The 18174-nt window shown below is 50.3% G+C and overlaps 2 long non-coding RNA genes and 2 pseudogenes across 3 annotated transcripts; all 4 read right to left on the bottom strand.

The window, feature by feature from the left end:
• On the bottom strand, positions 152–2218 carry LOC100133177 (uncharacterized; annotated as a pseudogene).
• LOC107986795 (putative uncharacterized protein FLJ92257) lies at positions 4116–4635 on the bottom strand (annotated as a pseudogene).
• A 340-nt stretch (positions 4636–4975) lies between these two features.
• Positions 4976–5854, bottom strand: LOC107986794 (uncharacterized). Its single transcript, NR_157843.1, has 3 exons — positions 5707–5854; positions 5422–5479; positions 4976–5330 (listed from the first exon to the last, which is right to left on the bottom strand). It is a non-coding gene; the product is annotated as an uncharacterized LOC107986794 (long non-coding RNA).
• Positions 5855–7674: 1820 nt separating this feature from the next.
• Positions 7675–15583, bottom strand: LOC102723533 (uncharacterized). Of its 2 annotated transcripts, none has more exons than XR_927259.2 (3): positions 15126–15331; positions 14199–14283; positions 7675–7713 (listed from the first exon to the last, which is right to left on the bottom strand). It is a non-coding gene; the product is annotated as an uncharacterized LOC102723533 (long non-coding RNA). The 2 variants fall into 2 exon arrangements; XR_428146.3 differs by lacking the exon at positions 7675–7713 and adding an exon at positions 8531–8574 and having other exon boundaries at positions 15126–15583.
• Between the last annotated feature and the right edge of the window lie 2591 nt (positions 15584–18174).

Raw genomic sequence — 18174 nt, forward strand, 5'->3', positions numbered from 1 at the left:
GCTCACGCTGACCTCTGTCAGCGTGGGAGGGGCCGGTGTGAGGCAAGGGGCTCACGCTGACCTCTGTCAGCTTGGGAGGGGCCGGTGTGAGGCAAGGGGCTCATGCTGACCTCTCTCAGTGTGGGAGGAGCCGGTATGAGGCAGGGGCTCACGCCTCTGGGCAGGGTGCCAGAGGCATGAGTTGGGCATCAACAGGCCACCGTGAGGGAGGAGCTGGGCGCACGCGGGCTGCCGGGAGGCAGGCAGGGACTTGGCCCCGGGAGGCCGCTGTGGGGGCGAGAGCTGGGCCTGGAGAGGCCCTGGGAGGCAAGAGCGTGGCCTGCAGAGGCTGTTCTCCAGCCAGAGCTGGGCCTGTACAGGCCACCGGGAGGCAGGAGGTGGGCCCGAAGAGCTTGGCTGGAGAAAGTTCGGGGCCTACAAAGGCGGTTGGGAGCTGGGCAGGAGCTGAGCCAAAAAAGCTTGCTTACTTGCTGGGAGGCAGGGCCGGGAGAGGCCGACTTCAGGACGACTTGGGCCTGCAGAGGTCGCCGGGAGGCCCAAGCTGGGCGTGGAGGAGCCCACCGACCGGAGACCATTTGGGGCCTGGAGACGCCATCGGAGGGCAGGAGCTGATCCTGGAGAGGCCACCGTGAGGCCTGACCTGGGCCTGGGGAGCTTGGCTTGAGGAAGCTGTGGGCCGACCAAGGCCGCCAGGAGATGGGCAGGCACTGAGTCCAAAGAGGTTGTTGGGAGGCAGGAGTCGGGCCTGGAGACGCAGCCGGGAGGAAGAGCTGGGCCTGGAGAGGACGCCCGGAGGGTGCAAGTGGGCCTGGAGAGGCCAACTTGAGGAGGTTCTGGGCCTGGAGAGGCCGCTGGAAGGGAAAAATGGGGCCTGGAAAGGCCGTTGTGAGGAATGAGCTGGGCCTAAAGAGGCCACTGGCCGGCAGGAGCTGGGCCTGCCGAAGTGGCCGAAAGGCAGGAGCTTTGGACTGGGGAGGCCGCAGTGAGGCAAGAGCTAGCTGGGCATGGAGAGTCCTCTGTGAGGCCGAGGCCGGGCCCATGCAGACCTTCGAGAGGCAGGAGGCCGGGCCTGCCAAGGCCGACTGGAGGTCAAGTTCTGGGCCTGAAGAGGCCACCAAAAGTCAAAAGCGGGGCCTGGGAAGACCGCCGAGAGCCATGAGCTGGGCTGGGCCGAAAGAGGCCACTGGGAGGCAGGAGGAGCTGGGCCTGGAGAGGCTGACTCGAGGAAGTTTTGCACCTGGAGAGGCCGCCGAGAGGACGGAGCTGGGCCCGGGGAGGCCGACTTGCAGCTCTTCCAGGCCCACTTCCAGGCTGACCTGAGGATGACTTGGGCCTGCAGAGGCCACCGGGAGGCTGGAGCTGGGCCTGGAGAGGCCGACTTCAGGACGATTTGGGCCTGCAGAGGCTGCCGGGAGGCCCAAGCTGGGCCTAGAGGAGCCCACCGACCGGAGGCCGTTTGGGGCCTGGAGACGCCGTCGGAGGGCAGGAGCTGAGCCTGGAGAGGCCACCGTGAGGCCGGAGCTGGGCCTGGGGAGCTTGGCTTCAGGAAGTTGTGGGCCTACCAGGGCCGCTGGAAGCTGGGCGGGAGCTGAGTCCAAAGACCTTGTTGGGAGGCCGGAGTCGGGCCTGGAGACGCAGCCGGGAGGAAGAGCTGGGCCCGGAGAGGACGCCGGGACGCTGCAGGTGGGTCCGGAGAGGCCGACTTGAGGAGGTTCTGGGCCTGGCGAGGCCGCCGGAAGGGAAAAACTGGGCCTGGAAAGGCCATTGTGAGGAATGAGCCCCATGGGCCTGAAGAGGCCACTGGCAGGCAGGAGCTGGGCCTGCCAAAGCGGCCGAGAGGCAGGAGCTTTGGACTCGGGAGGCTGCAGTGAGGCGAGAGCTAGCTGGGCGTGGAGAGTCCGCTGTGAGGCAGAGGCTGGGCCTGTGCAGGCCTTCAGGAGGCAGGAGGCCGGGCCTGGAGAGGCTGACTGGAGGTCAAGTTCTGGGCCTGCAGAGGCCGCCGAAAGTCAAAAGTGGGGCCTGGGAAGGCCGCCGGGAGGCATGAGCTGGGCTGGGCTGAAAGAGGCCACTGGGAGGCAGGAGGAGGTGGGCCTGGAGAGGCTGACTCGAGGAACATTTGCACCCAGAGAGGCTGCCGAGAGGCCGGAGCTGGGCCTGGGGAGGCCGACTTGAGGACGACTTGGGCCTGCAGAGGCCGCCGGGAGGCAAGAGCTGGCCCTGGACAGCCCAACTTGATGAGAGTCTGGGCCTGCAGAGGCCGCTGGGAGGAAGAGCTGGGCCTGGAGAGGCCGACTGGAAGAAGTCCAGGGCCTGGAGAGGATGCAAAGCAGCAAATGCTAGGCCTGGAAAGGCTGCCCTGAGGCACGTGCTTGGCCTATAGAGGCCACTGGGAGGCAGGAGCTGGGCCCGCAGAGGCTCCTGAGAAGGAGGAGCATTGCCCCAGGATGCCACGGTGAGGAAGAGGTGGGCCTGGAGAGCCCACTGTGAGGTAGAGGCCGGGCCTGTAGAGGCCGCCGACAGGCAGGGCCTGGGCCCGTTGAGGCCACGAGAGGCATGAGCTGGGCCTCAACAGGCCAGTGTGAGGCAGGAACTGACACTTGGGCAGGTTGCAAGAGGCATGAGTTGGGCCGAAAGAGGCCACCGTGAGGGAGGAGCTGGGCCTGTACAAGCTGCCGAAAGGCAGGAGCAGCTTTGGACTGGAGAGGCCACAGACAGGGAAGAGCTGGGTGTGGAGAGTCTGCTGTGAGGCAGAGGCTGGGCCTGTACACGCCCTCGGGAAGCAGGAGGCTGGGCCTGGAGAGGCCGACTTGAGGAAGTTTTGCTCCTGGAGAGGCCACTTAGAGGCAAGAGCTGGGTGTGAAGAGGCTGACTTGAGGTCGATTTTGGCCTGCAGAAGCCACCGGTAGCTAGGAGTTGGCCCTGGAGAGGCTGACTTGAGGACAATTTTGGCCTGTAGAGGCCACTGGGAGGGAGAGCTTGGTCTGGAGAGGCCAACTGGAGTAAGTTCAGGGCTTGGAGAGGATGCATAAAAGGAAACGCTCAGCCTGGAAAGTCTGCTGTGAGGCATTAGCTTGGCCTACACAGCACTTGTAGGTAGGAGCTGGGCCTGAAGAGGGTGACTTCAGGACAATTTTGGCCTGCAGAAGCCTTTGGGAGGAAGAGCTTGGCCTGGACCGGCTGACTGGAGGAAGTTTTGGGACTGGAGTATGCGTCAAAAAGCAAAAGTTAGGCTAGGAAAGGCCACTTCGCGGCATGATCTTGGCCTACAAAGGCAATTGCGAGGCAGGAGCTGGGCCTGTAGAGGCTGCTGAAAGGCAGGAGCTTGGCCTTAGGAGGCTATGCTCAGGCAAGTGGTGGGCCTGGAGGGTCTACTGTGTGGTAAGAGTCTGGGCCTGTGTAGGCCAACATGAGGCAGGAGCTGAGTTAGGAGAGGCCAACTTTTGGAGAATTTGGGCCTGCAGAGGCTGACAGGAGGCAAGAGCTGTGCCTGGAGAGTCCATCTTTTAGCATGAGCTGGGCCTAAAGAGACCATTGTGAGGCAGCAGCTGCCTGGGAGGCAGGCAGATTCGTGGCCTGGGGAGGCCACTGTGAGGCAAATGCTCAGTTTTCGGAGGATGCCGTGAGGCAGGGAGAAACTTGGCTTTCAGTGGCCGCAGTGAGGGAATAGTTTGATTGCTGAGGCTGCCGGGAGGCCGAAGGTGGGCCTGGAAAGCTTTACTTTAAGAAGTCTGTGGCCTACAGAGGCTGCCAGCAGCTCAGCAGGAGTTGGGCCAAAGAAGGTTGTTGTGAGGCAGGAGACGGGCCTGTAGACGCACTGGGAGGATGAGCTCGTCCTGGAGATGCCGAGTTAAGGACATTCTGGGCCTGGACAGGCTGCAAAAGGCAAAAGCTGTGCCTGGAAAAGTCACCATGGGGCATGAGCTTGGCCTAAAGAGGCCATTGCAAGGCAGGAGCTGGGCCTGTAGAGGCTGCCAAAAGGCAGGAGCTTCACCTGAGGATGCCACAGTGAGACACCATCTGGGTCTGGAGGGTCCACTGTGAGGCAGAGGCTGGCCTGTAGAGTCCAACAGTAGGCAGAGGTTGGGCAAAAGGCTGATTCGAGGAAGTTTTGGGCTTCAAGAGTCAGCCAGGAGGCAGGCGCTAGGCCTGGAAATGGCCCGACAGTCATGAGTTGGGCCTAAATGGGCCACTGTGAGGGAGGAGCTGTGCCTGTTGAGGCTGCTGGCAGGCAGGCAGAAACTTGGCCTGGGGCAGCTGCCATGAGGCAAGAGCTGGGCCTGGAGAAGCCCCTGGGAGGCAAGAGCAGGGCCTGCAGAGGCTATTCTCAAGTCAAAGCTGGGCCTGTTCATGCCACCGGGAAGCAGAAGGTGGGCCTGGAGAGTTTGACTTGAGGAAGTTTTGGGCCTACATTGGCCGCCGTGAGCTGGACAGGAACTGGGCCAAAAAAGGCTGTTGTGAGGCAGCAGTTGTGCCTGTAGACTCAGCTAAGAGGAAGAGCTGGGCCTGGAGAAGCCCCCATGAGGCAGAGGTTGGGCCTGTAGATGCTGACAGGAGGCAGGAACTGGGCCTGGAGAGGTCAACTTGAGGAGATTTTGGGCCTTCATAGGCCACCAGAAGGCAGCAGTTGGGACTAGAGAGGCTGATTTGAGGAAGTTTTGGGCCTGGAGATGACGTCCTGGGACAGGAACTGGGCCTGGAGAGGCCACCGTGAGGCATGAGCTGGATGTAGAGAGGCCAGTGTGAGGCAAGACCTGGGCCTATCTAGGCTGCTGGGAGACAGGCAGGAATCTGGCCAGGCAAGGTTGCCATGAGACAAAAGTTGGGCCTGGAAAGGCCCTTGTGAGGCATGAGCTTGGCCTAAAGAGGCCACTGGGTGGCAGGAGCTGGGTGTGTAGAAGCTGCTGAAAGGTTGGGAGCTTGGCTTGGGGGGTCCACAGTGAGGCAGATGCTGGGCCTGAAGAATCTGCTGTGAGGCAGATGTTGGGACTGTAGAGGCCGACGGGAGGCAGAGGCTGGGCCTGGAGAGGCCGCCAAGATGCAGGAGCTGGGCCTGGAGAGGCTGCCAAGAAGCATGAGCTGGGCCTGGTGAGGTCGACTTGAGAAAGTTCAGGGCCTGGAGAGAAGGCTGGGAGGCAGGAGCTGGGTCTAAAGAGGCCATTGTAACGGTGGAGCTGTGCCTGTGGAGGCTGTTGTGAGGCAGTAGCCTCATCTGCGGAGACTGCTGTGAGGTAGGGTATGGGCCTAAATAGGCCATTGTGAGTCATGAGCTTGGTCTGTGGAGGCTGACTGGAGAAAGTTCTGGGCCTGGCGAGGCTGCTGGGAGGTAGGAGCTGGGCCAAAAGATTTAAGCACATTACATTTATTGGCACTTTATTTCCATTAGTACACTGTAATATGTAATAAAATAATTATAGAACTCACCATAATGTAGAATCAGTGGGCGTGTTAAGCTTGTTTTCCTGCAACTGGATGGTCCCACCTGAGCGTGATGGGAGAAAGTGACAGATCAATAAGTATTAGATTCTCATAAGGACAGTGCAACCTAGATCCCTCACATGCACGGTTCACAACAGGGTGTGTTCTCCTATGAGAATCTAATGCTGCTGCTGATCTGAGAAGGTGGAGCTCAGGCGGGAATGTGAGCAAAGGGGAGTGGCTGTAAATACAGACGAAGCTTCCCTCTCTCCCTCACTCGACACCACTCACCTCCTGCTGTGTGGCTCCTTACGGCTCCATGGCTCAGGGTTGGGGACCCCTGCTGAAGTGCATCCAAAATGACCCTTCCTACACCAGTCTTCATAGTGGTCAAGTGCAGCAACCACTTAGCTCCGAAGGTATGTGCCTCAGCTGGCATTTCGTCACAATCAACAGTAAGTGGTAGCTTGAGTCATTGTGAGGTCACTTCCTGGAAATCACCAGCATCCCATTTCCCACTGGCAAAGAGCTCAGCACTGCCCCCTGGGAAACCAAACCTATGCCCAAATCCCATCTGTGTGGGTTTATCTCCTGGGACCCTTCCTAACATATTAGTCAGAGTCCAATCAGGAAGCATAAACCACTCAAAAGTTTAAAGTGGTAAAATTTAATACAGAGAATTATTCACTATAACAGGTGAACAGCATAATGAGAGATTGGCTAGCACAAAGTAAAGAGAACTCTAGAGAATATAGGACTAGCCCAGGCCAGGCATGGTGGCTCATGCCTGAAATTCCAGCAATTTGAGAAGCTAATGCAGGAGGATTGCTTAAGGTCAGGAGCTAGAGACCGGTCTGGACAACACAGTGAGACCCTGTCTCTATCCAAAAAAAGAAAAAAATTAGCTGGGAGTAGTGGTGCACACTTGTAGTCCCAGCTACTCGGAATGCTGAAGTTTGAGCCTGGGAGGTCAAGGCTGCAGTGAGGCATGATTATGCCACTACAGTCCAGCCTGGTGACAGAGCAAGAACCTGTCTCAAAGAACAAAACAACAACAACCATTTACAGACAGAAAAGAAATAGAGCTAATAAGCTAAGGGAAGATGTTGAAATGTGACAAGTAAGGTAATATGAGGTCTTTTATCTATTTAAAATAATCACACAAAAAAATGACTTACTAAATTATAATACCCTGTGCTGGCAAAGGTGCAGTGAAATGGGCACTTTGTTATACTATGAGGGGTGTTTAAGTTGTGTATAAGCCTTCCAGGGTAAAGCTTGTCAATTTCTTAAAATAATAGAGACAGGGTCTCACCATACTGCCATACTGCCTCCTCCAACTCTTGGCCTCAAGCAATCCTCCTGTCTTAGCCTCCCAAAGTGCTAAGATTATAGCTGGGAGGCATCCAAAACCTTGTCAATTTACATCAAGGGTAATGAGAATGTCCATTCACCATGACTCACAGTAATCTTACTTCTGGGGAGACAATTCAATCTAAACAAAAGGTCATCTGTACAAACAGTAAAAATCTGGGAGTAACTGAAGACAGAGTTGGTAAGTGAAATAAGAAACAGTTATAAGAAATTAAACTATGGTATCAATAGGCACCTGGTAAAAGGTCAGTTGATGTTAGCTGCTACTTTTTTGTTGTTCTGAGACAAGGTCTCACTGTGTCACCCAGGCTGGAGTGCAGAGGTCTGATCATGACTCACTGCAGTCTCAGCCTCCCTGGGCTCAAGTGATCCTCCCAGCTTAGCCTCCCAAGTAGCTGGGACTACAGGAACATGCCACCACACTAGGCTAATTCATGTATTTTTCTGTAGGGATGGTGACTCCCTTTGTTTCCAAGGCCTATCGCAAACTCTTGGCCTCAAGCCATCCTCCTGCCTCAGCCTCCCAAAGTGTTGTGATTACCAGTGTGAGCCACCACACCTGGCCAGCTGCTACTTTTATCAATATTATTTCCAGTCAATTAAAATTTATTATTTTCAAGGCTATGCAACAGTATGTATCCTACAGTGTAAAAACTTATACAGTCGTCCCTCAGTATACAGAATTAGTTCCAGCCCCCCATTGCTGCATATACCCAAATCCATGCTTACTCACGTTTTGCTGTCACCCCTCTGGAATCCACGTATAGGAAAATTCCAAATATTAGTTGGGCATAGTGGCAAGCACCTGTAGTCTCAGCCACGTGGGAGGTTGAGATGGGAGGATCGCTTCAGCCTGGAAGGTTGAGGCTGCAGTCAGCTGTGATAGCACTACTACACTCCAGCCTTGGACAACAGAGGGAGACCCTGTCTCAGAAAAAAAACAAAACAAGTTAGAAATTGTAATGAGGTCTGTTGGGCAAAATTCCATATAAGCAAAGTATAAATTAATAAAGCAAATGGTGATAAATTAGTACGATTGACTTTTTGGAGTTTCTGACAATAAAAGTAAGGAAAATGCAAAACACAAAGACAGAGAGTAAAAAGAGAAATTAGGAAAGCATTCTACATGTTTAATAGGAAGACACTGGCCATGTTCGTGCAGTAGCAGTATGTCATGATATGACATACCTTGGAGAGAAGTTAACAGATGAGGAAGTTGATAAAAATGATCAGAGAAGCAAAATACTGGTAGCGACACTCAAGTAAACCATGAAATTTCCATAACTTATGTCAGCAAAGTGGGAATATTGTACAGTGTGTGTTGAAGTTCCTATACAACATTGTTTATCTGCCTTTTGTTTGTTTGTAAGGAAAGTATATACTAAAAGTTCTTACTGTCAAAAGAATATGTGTGAATAAGTCATTTTAACTTATTCTTCTGTTTTTCTTTTATCTTCCTGCCATCATCCCACAGCCTTACTTTAGAAATTTTTTTTTTAGAAAATTGAACAAGTGTTCCTTGTGGTGGCACATACCTCTAGGATGGGAGGCAGGGGTGGAAGGGTCACTTGAGGCCATGAGTTTGACACCAGCCTGGCTAACAAAGTGAGACCCCATGTCTACAAAACAATTTAAAAATTAGCCAAGTATCGTCATGTATACCTACAGTCCCAGCTACTCAGGAGGCTCAGGTAGGAGGATCCTTAGCCCAGGAGTTCAAGGCTGCAGTGAGCTGTGATAGCACTACTGTACTCAAGCCTGGGTGACAGGGTGAGACCCCATCTCCTAAAATAAAAAAAACAAAGAAAAAAAATAGTTCAAGTAGCAAGTTGTATGTGGCTTACTCTGAATATTTCTAAACTAGAAATTCTCAATCTTTTGGGGTCTAACATCCCTTTACATTTTTTAACTTTATTGAAGATCTCTAATACTATTTCTTTCTGTAAATAATTGTATTAAAACTAGAAAATAAGACAAAATTTTAAAAATATTATTCATCACATATTAATAAAGCCATTACATGTTAATATAATACAAGATTTTAAAAATATTTAATATTCATTACATATTAATAATGAAACCATTACATGTTGATATAATACTTTTTTTTTCTTTGATACAAAGTCTTGTTCTTTCTCCCAGGCTGGAGTGAAGTGGCACAATCTCAGCTCATTGCAACCTCCGCCCTGCAGAGTTTCAAGTGATTCTCCTACCTCAGCCTCCCAAGTAGCTGGGATTACAGGCACCCACTACCATGTCCGGCTAATTATTGTATTTTCTTAGTAGAGAAGGAGTTTTCTTAGTAGAGAAGGCTGGTCTTGAACTCTTGACCTCAGGTGATCCACCCGCCTGGGTCTCCCTAAGTGCTGGGATTACAGGTGTGAGCCACCGCGCCCACCCCGATTAATATATGTTTTAAAACACTGATTAGTCAGGCAACAACACCGGGCAGGGGTCTCCTCATTCCCAGTGATGCAAACCCCACTGCACGGCTGAGGGGTTGCAAGGGCTGCAGAACCAAAAGGCTCTGACTTGAGATTTCATTATTTTACTTGTATTTTTATTTGTATTGTGAGACAGGTCCTGCTCTGTCACCCAGACTGGAGTGCAGCTGTGCACTTACAGCTCACTGCAGCCTCGACCTCGGGCTCAAGCCATCTTCCTGCCTCAGCTCCCCAGCAGCTGGTAGTACAGTTGAGTGCCACCATGCCTGGTTATTTTTTTAATTTTTTTGTAGAGTGAGGGGTCTTGCTATGTTGCTCAAGCTGGCCTCAAACTCCTGACCTCAAGAGATCTGCCCACTTCAGCCTCCTGAGTAGCTGAAACTACAAGTACACATCACCATGCCTAGCTACATTTACTTAATTTTGAAAAATATTTTTGTAAAGAGCAGATCCAGCTGTGTTGTCCAGGCTGGTCTTGAACACCTGCCCTTAAAAGATACTCCCACCTCTGGTTACCAAACAGCTGGGACTACAGGCATGAGCCACTGCAATGAGCCTGAAGAGATTTCTTTAATCTAGCATCCCATACTTGGTAGGATTGGGAAAGGCAGTAGTGTTTTTTAAAATTACTTAATAATTTCAGTAACAGTCAAATTCAACCTTGACCCCTGCCTTCTCTCACACCCCATATCCAGTCTGTCAGGAAATCCTGTTGACTGTCTTCGACATGTACTAAAGATCCCCACCCAGTAACTCCCTGGCCTCCTCCCCTACTTCTCCCCTCTGGCCATCTCTCAACACCACCATGGCCCTGGTCAGGACCACCATCATCTCCCGCCTGGATGTTGCCAAAGCTTGGCCCCCAAGCTTCTACCCACATCTTCCCACAGTCTTTCTCAACTCAGCAGCCAGAGAATTCTTTTAAATCGGGAGACAGATCATGTCGCTTCTCTGCTCAGAACCTTCCCGCAGTTCCCATCTGAGTCAGAGTAAAAGCCAAAGCCCCAGCAATAACCTCCCAGGGCTTATGTGATCTGTACTGATCCCCACCCAGCAACTCCCTGGCCCCCTCCCCTAATTCTCTCCTCCCCGTCTGCTCCATGGGCCTCCTTCCAGAGTCTCAGACACACCTCAGACACTTTATTCTATTGTTTCTGCCTGCGATCCTCTTCCCTCAGCACCTTGGCCAGCTCCTTCCCCTCCTTCAAGTCTTTACTCAATTTTCACTTAGGAGGCCACCCCTGACCATTCTATTTAACACTGCCATCTGTCCCCATGCCCACCATGCTCATTTCTTCTTTCTTTACTTTCTTCTTTCTTTTTTCAAGATCTCACTGTCACCAAGGCTGGAGTGCAGTGGCGCAATCACAGCTCACTGCAACCTCAAATTTCCAGGCTCAAGCGATCCTCCCACCTCAGCCTCCCAAGTAGCTGGGACTCCAGGTTCATGCCATCATGCCTGGCTAAATTTTTTAGTATTTTATTTTATTTTGAGACAGAGTTTCACTCTTCTTGCCCAGGCTGTAGTGTAATGGTGCGATCCCGGCTCACTGCAACCTCCACCTCCCAGATTCAAGTGATTCTCCTGCCTCAGCCTTCCAAGTAGCTGGGATTACAGGTGCATGCCACCACGCCCAGCTAATTTTTGTATTTTTAGTAGAGCCGGGGTTTCGCAATGTTGGCCATGCTGGTCTCGAACTCCTGACCTCAGGTAATCTGCCCACTTCGGCCCCCCAGAGTGCTGGAATTACAGGTGTGAGCCACCACGCCTGGCCAATTTTTTCATTTTTTGTAGAGACAAGGTCTTACTATGTTGCCCAGACTGGTCTTGAACTCCTGGCCTCAAGTGATCCTCCTGTCTAAATTCCTAAAGTGCTGGGACTACCGGCATGAGCCATCATGACTGGCTTTATGTTCATTTCTTCTTGCTGCTGCAACATAGTTTGCAGTTTCCTACATTTAGTGGCTTAAAACACCACAAATCTACCATCTTACAGTTCTAGGGGCCAGAAACCCAAACTAGGTCTAGTAAGGCTAAAGTCAAGGTGTCAGCAGGGCTGCATTCCTTCTAGAGACTCTAAAGTGTTCCCTTGGCTTTTCCAGCTTCTAGAAGCCACCCCCATTCCTTGGATCATGGCCCCTGACTCCATCTTCAAAGCCAGAAGTGAAGCATCTTCAAATCTCCCTCTCTTACCTCTGCTTTCATCACCACATCTCCTGCTCCAATTCTGAATCTCCTACTCTCTTTCTTTTATAAAGACCCTTGTGACTGCTGGGCATGGGGGCTCCCACCCAGAATCCCAACACTTTGGGAGGTCAAGGCAGGAGGAACACTTGAGGCCCGAAGTTTGAAACTAGAATGAACAACACAGTGAGACCCCCACCTCTAGAAAAAAATAAAAATAAATATTAGCCCGACATGGGGGTATGTGCCTGTAGTCCCAGCTACTTGAGAGGATGAGGTGAGACAATCGATTTAGCCCAGGAGTTTGAGATCAGCCTGGACCACATAACTAAATCTCATCTCTACAAGGACGAGGTGGGAGGATCACTTGAGCCCAGGAATTTGTGGCCAGCCTGGGCAACAAAAGAAGACCCCATCTGGCCAACATGGTGAAACTCCGACTCTACAAAAATGAGCCGGCACAGGTGACATGCATGTGTAGTCCTAGCTACTTGGGAGGTTGAGATGGGAGGATCACTTGATCTCAGAAGGCCAAAGCTATAGTGAGCTATGATACCATCACTGCACTCCAGCCTGGATGACACAGGGAGATTCTGTCTCAAAAAAAAAAATAAAAGAAATATATATTTAATCTCTGTCCCTGGTTCCTGGCACAGAGCTTCTAAAGCTCTTACAAAGACCTCAGTGATAGATGTGACAGGAACATCTTTTGTTTTAATATTTGGTCTTGGTCCCAGGTTTCTAACACAAGAGCCTCTAAGAACTTTGGGATCTCCAGCATGGTAAGAATGCATTTGGGGATGTTGTTGAGATGACTGGGTGACTGCAAGCTCCTAGATTTCTTCAGGAGGAGGGCTGATTGCCAATGGAAGCATCCACATGATTAGACGCTTGGAACTTTCAGCCTCATGCACTGAACTCCAGGAGGAAGAGGGGCTGGAGACTGCCTTAATCACCAATGGCCAAAGATTTTATCAATCATGCTTGCATAATAAAGCCTCCATAAACACCCTGAACAGGGTTTGTGGAGCTTCCGGGGTTGCTGAACACAGGAGATGCTGGGAGGGTGGCATGTTCAACAGAGGGCATGGGAGCTCTGTGCTCCTCCTAACTTACCTTGCCTTGGGCATCTTTCTTTTTTTTTGAGATAGGGTCTGGCTCTTTTGTCCAAGCTAGAGTGGAGTGGCACAATCTCAGCTCACTGTAACCTAAGCCTCCCCAGTCCCCAGCTCAAGGTGTCCTCTCACCTCAGCATCCCTAGTAGTTGGAACTCTAGGTGCACACCACCACACCCGGTTATTATTTTTTTTTATTTTCTGTAGAGACAGGTTTTCACCATGTTGCCGAGGCTGGTCTCAAACTCCTCAGTTTAAGCGATGCTCCCACTTGGCCTCCCAAAGTTCTGAGATTACAGGCATGAGCCACTGCATCCAGCATGTACGTCTCTTTCATTGGCTGTTTCTGAAATGTATCCTTTGCAATGAACCAGTAATAGGAAATGAACTGGCCAGACGCGGTGGCTCACATCTGTAATCCTAGCACTTTAAGAGGCAGAGGTGGGAGGATCACTTGAGACCAGGAATTTGTGGCCAGCCTGGGCAACACAACAAGACCCCATCTATACAAAAAATAAATAAGCCAGATGTGGTGGTGCAGGCATGTAGTCTCAGCTACTAGGGAGGATGAGGTGGGAGAACCACTGGAGCCCAGGCAGTCAAGGCTGCAGTGAGCTATGACTGCACCATTGCACACCAGCCTGGGCAAAAATATAAGACCCTCTCTCTCAGAAAAAAAGAAAATAAACTGTTTTTCTGAGTTCTGTAAACTGTTCTAGCAAATAATTAAACCCAAGAATAGAGTTATGGGAACCCCTGATTTGTAACAGGTTGGTCAAAAGTACAGGTGACAACCTAGGACTTGCCATTGGCATCTGAAGTGAGGATGGTCTCGTGGGACTGAGCCCCTAACTTGTGGGGTCTGTGCTAACTCCAGGCAGTGTCAGAATAAAATCATGGGATACCCAGTTAATATTCAGAGCACTGGAGAATTTGGTGTAAAACTCCATACATACATTCAGTCAGAAGTGTGTGAGCAGAGACAAACACGGGCTTTTCTTTCACCTGTCTACCTGCTTAACTGCATAGGAGAGGCAATACGTGGTGCTCATGAACAAAGCAAGCATTAAAGTCAGACCAGACCCAACATTCGACTCAGTCTTAATATCCAGGTGAGCTTGGGCAAATCACTCATTATTGCTAAGTCTTCATCACTTCATTCATAAAATGGGGATAACTGTGGCACCTACCTGTGATTCTGTGAGAATTAATGAAATATTATGCTTGGTGTTATTGTGATAATTATACCTATTCCAAACTATTTGACAAGGACAGTGATGGATGACAACATCAAAAAATTAGAAACTGTAGTGAGATCTCTCAGGCAAAATTCCATACAAGCAAATTACTGTCTCCACAAAGCATTCCTGCCACACTTAATTCACCATTCCCTGAACAAAATGTGCCATCTTCATTGTCCAGGTCTGTGCAGTGCTGGTTTCCCTGCCTGGGCAGCTCACTCCATCCCATTCCAGCCCATTCCCCATCCCTCCACCTCCCCCTTCCCTCCCCACTCTCATACAACTCTTCCTCATCTTTCAGGACTTGGCTTCAGTGTCACCTTAACTGGAAACTTCTCTCAGCCTCTGGAAGAGCTTCCCATTGCACTTGATGCATGCACTATTATTTGATCATTTTTGAGTTACAGTCCAAGTCTTTTTGTACCTGAATAACATGTTACCCAGTCAGTCTCTTTTCCTGGATTCAGAAGTCTTTCATGGTAGATTCAGCTGGAAGTGACAAATACATTCTTCCGAAATAAAGGGATGACACAAAGAGACATAAGTTCTTAAACGTCTTAAATGGTATGTGAAAATTAAACAAAATTCAAAGACTTGTGGGAACACTTAGAAGGAAAGTTACTGGGAATGTCATAAAGGGTTAATCTGTACTTTATTTTTTGAGACATTATTTTTATTTGATTTTTAATTTTCTGTCACCTAGGCTGGAGTGCAGTGGTGCAATCAGGGCTCACTGCAGCCTCAACCACCTGGGCTCAAGTAATCTCACTTAATTTTTATTTGGTTTAAGAAACGGTCTTGGTTGAGGGTGGTGGCTTATGCCTGTAATCTCAGCACTTTGGGAGGCTGAGAGAGGTATATTACTTGAGGCCAGGAGTTTGAGATCAGTCTGGGCAATATATTAAGACCTTGTCTCTACTAAAAAACAGAGTGAATGTGCGGAAGACAATTTTTCCACAGACTGGGAGTGGAGGGAATAATTTCAGGATGATTCAAGTGCATTACAAATATTGTGCACTTTATTTCCATTACTATTACATTGTAATATATAATGAAGTAATTCTACAACTCACTATAATGTAGAATCAGTGGGATCTCTGAGCTTGTTTTCCTGCAACTAGACTGTCCATCTGGGGTGATGGGAGACAGTGACAGAACATCAGGCATTAGATTCTCGTAAGGAGCGCACAACCTAGATCCCTCGCATGCTCACTTCACAACAGGTTTCGTGCTCCTATGAGAATCTAATGCTGCTGCTGATCTGACAGGACATGGAGCTCAGGTGGTCATGCAAGCGATGGGAGGGGCTAGAAATACAGATGAAGTTTCCCTTCACTCGCCTGCTGCTCACCTCTGGCTCTGTGGCCCTGTGTTTGGAGACTGCTGCTCAAGTGCATTCGAAAGGATCCATCCCATGCCATTCTTCAGTCATCTTTACTGCTGCAGTGGTCAACTGTAGCACCCCTAAGCTTGCAGGGCATATGCTTCACCTGGTATTTCTTTTTTTTTTTTTTTTTGAGATGGAGTCTCACTCTGTCGCCCAGGCTGGAGTGCAGTGGCACGATCTCGGCTCACTGCAAGCTCTGCCTCCCAGCTTCCCGCCATTCTCCTGCCTCAGCCTCCCAAGTAGCTGGGACTATAGGTGCCTGCCACCATGCCCAGCTAATTTTTTGTATTTTTAGTAGAGACGGGGTTTCACCGTGTTAGCCAGGATGGTCTCGATCTTCTGACCTCGTGATCCACTCGCCTTGGCCTCCCAAAGTGCTGGGATTACAGGGGTGAGCCGCCGCACCCGGCCTTCACCTGGTATTTCATCACAATCAACAGTAAGTGGTAGCTTGAGTCATTGTGAGGTCACTTCCTGGAAATCACCAGCATCCCATATCCCATTAGCAAGGAGCTCAGCACTGCTCCTTGGATAACGAAACCTATTCCCAAATCCCATCTATGTGGGTCTATCTCCTGGTACGCTTCCTACCATCAATTCTGTATTTGTAGGAGTCCAATCAGGAGAAACAAACCACTCAAAAGTTTAAACTAGAATGAGCAAGGTGGCTCACACCTGTAATCCCAGCACTTTGGGAGGCCAAGGTGGGTGAATTGCTTTGAGCTCAGGAGTTTGAGACTAGTCTGGGAAACATGGTGAAACCCCATCTCTACAAAAAACACAAAAATTAGCTCGGTGTGGCGGCACTTACCTGTAATCCCAGCTACTCGGGAGGCTAAGTCAGGAGACTTGCTTGAGCCTGGCAGGTGGAGGCTGCAGTGAGCAGAAGTTGTGCCACTGTACTCCAGCCTGAGTGACAGCGTGAGACCTGGTATCAAAAAGAAAAATATATATATATATGTAAATTTAATATAGAAAGTATTAATTTTGGCCAGGCACCATGGCTCATGCCTGTAATCCCAGCACTTTGGGAGGCCAAGGCAGGCGGATCACCTGAGGTCAGGAGTTCAAGACCAGCCTGACCAACATGGAGAAACCCCATCTCTACTAAAAATACAAAATTAGCTGGGCATGGTGGCACATGCCTGTAATCCCAGCTACTCGGGAGGCTGAGGCAGGAGAATCATTTGAACCCAGCAGGCGGAGGTTGCGGTGAGCCAAGATAGCGCCACTGCACTCCAGCCTGGGCAATCCAGCCTGGGCAACAAGAGTGAAACTCCATCTCAAAAAAAAAAGTATTAATTTTAGCAGAGGATCAGCATAATGAGGGACACTCTAGCACAAAGTAAAGACAACTCTAGAGAATACAGAACTAGCAGAGGCCAGGCACTATGGCTCATGCCTGTAATCCCAGCAATTTGGGAAGCCTAGGCAGGAGGATCACTTGAGGCCAGGAGTTGGAGACCTGTCAGCGCAACACAGTGAGACTATATGTCTACCAAAAAAAGAGAAAAATATTAGCTAGGTGTGGTGGTGGTGCACACCTGTAATTCCAGCTACTTGGGAGTCTGGGGTGGGAGGATCCCTTGAGGCTGGGAAGTCTACACTACAGTGATCCAAGATCATGCCACTGCACTCCAGCCTGGGTGACAGAGTGAGACCCTGTCTTAGAAAGAAAAAGAAAAGAAAGTGTTAATCCCCCTAAGGGAATCTCCTCTTCTCCTGCCCTCTCTGGAACCTCACTTGTCAGTTCTTCCTCCCACTTTCCTGTATCTTTAACCTATCCCCCACTTTTAGCACCTTCCCACCATCATTTAAATTACTCAAACTTCTTGTTTTAAAAACCTCTCCCTCAACTCAGTGAGAGGTCTCCTGCACACCCATTGAGCCATCTGCTCTCCCTGGTTCCTTCTCTACAGAAGCCTGAGCCATGTCTCTAATCCATGAATCTCATCATGTTACTTCCCCATTTACATCACTTCTCCTTGCCTCGGGGATTAAGTCCAAACTCCTTAACAGCCCCTGCTCTGCCCTGCCTTGCAAGGCAGCCTCACTGCTTGCCCCTCTCCATTTCACCTGCTATGGAGTCCAACTGAGCCTCATCTGCCCCCTGAATGCACACTCTTTCTCCTCTGGGAGTCTCTGAAGTGGGTGATATCCTCTGCTTATAATACGCTTCCCCTTAAACCTCTACTCTCTTCCTGGCTAGCTTCAGCTCCTCTGTCACTTGTCTGCTTTGGCATCACCTCCTCATGGAAGACTTCCTTGACTCCCCAGATTCTCAGGAGCATGGCAGGTGAGATGCTCCTCCCATGAATGGATGGAGATTAGGGAGTGTGTGTTATTCATGCTTAATTCACCAGTGCTTAGCTCAGTACCTGGCACAAGTTACTGTGGTGGCCAAAGTAATAACCCCCCACCCTGCCAACTAATTGCTCATGTCCTATGTTACACAGCACAATTACATAGGAAGGGAGAATTAAGAGTGCAGATAAAATTAATGTTGCTCATCAGCTGACCTTAAAACAAGATTATCCTGGAGTATCTAGGAGAGCCCATGTAATTACAAGCATTCTTTAAAAGTGGAAGAGGGAGGCAGAAGGTTAAGAACCAGAGACAGTGGGCACAATGACTCATGCCTGTAATACCAATACTTTGGGAGGCCGAGTCAGGAAAATCCCTTGAGTGCAGGAGTTCAAGGTCAGCCATGGCAACATAGTGCGGCCCCATCTCTACAAAAAAATAAAAACAAAATTCACCGAGTGTCATAGTGCTTACCAGCTACTGGGAAGGCTGACGTGGTAGGATTGCTTGAGCCTGGGAGTTTGAGGCTACAATGAGCCATGATTGGACCACTGAACTCCATCCTGAGTGACAGGGCAAGGTCCTGTTTCTAAAGAAAAAAAGGACATTGGAATCAGGGTCCCCTCCATCCTAAGGTGGCTACAAGGCATCTCTCTCTGCAAATGAGTAAACATCATCCTCCAACTCCTCACAGAGTGAAGCAGCAGGA

This window comes from Homo sapiens, chromosome 7, assembly GCF_000001405.40.
Source record: "Homo sapiens chromosome 7, GRCh38.p14 Primary Assembly".
Lineage (NCBI taxonomy): Eukaryota > Metazoa > Chordata > Mammalia > Primates > Hominidae > Homo > Homo sapiens.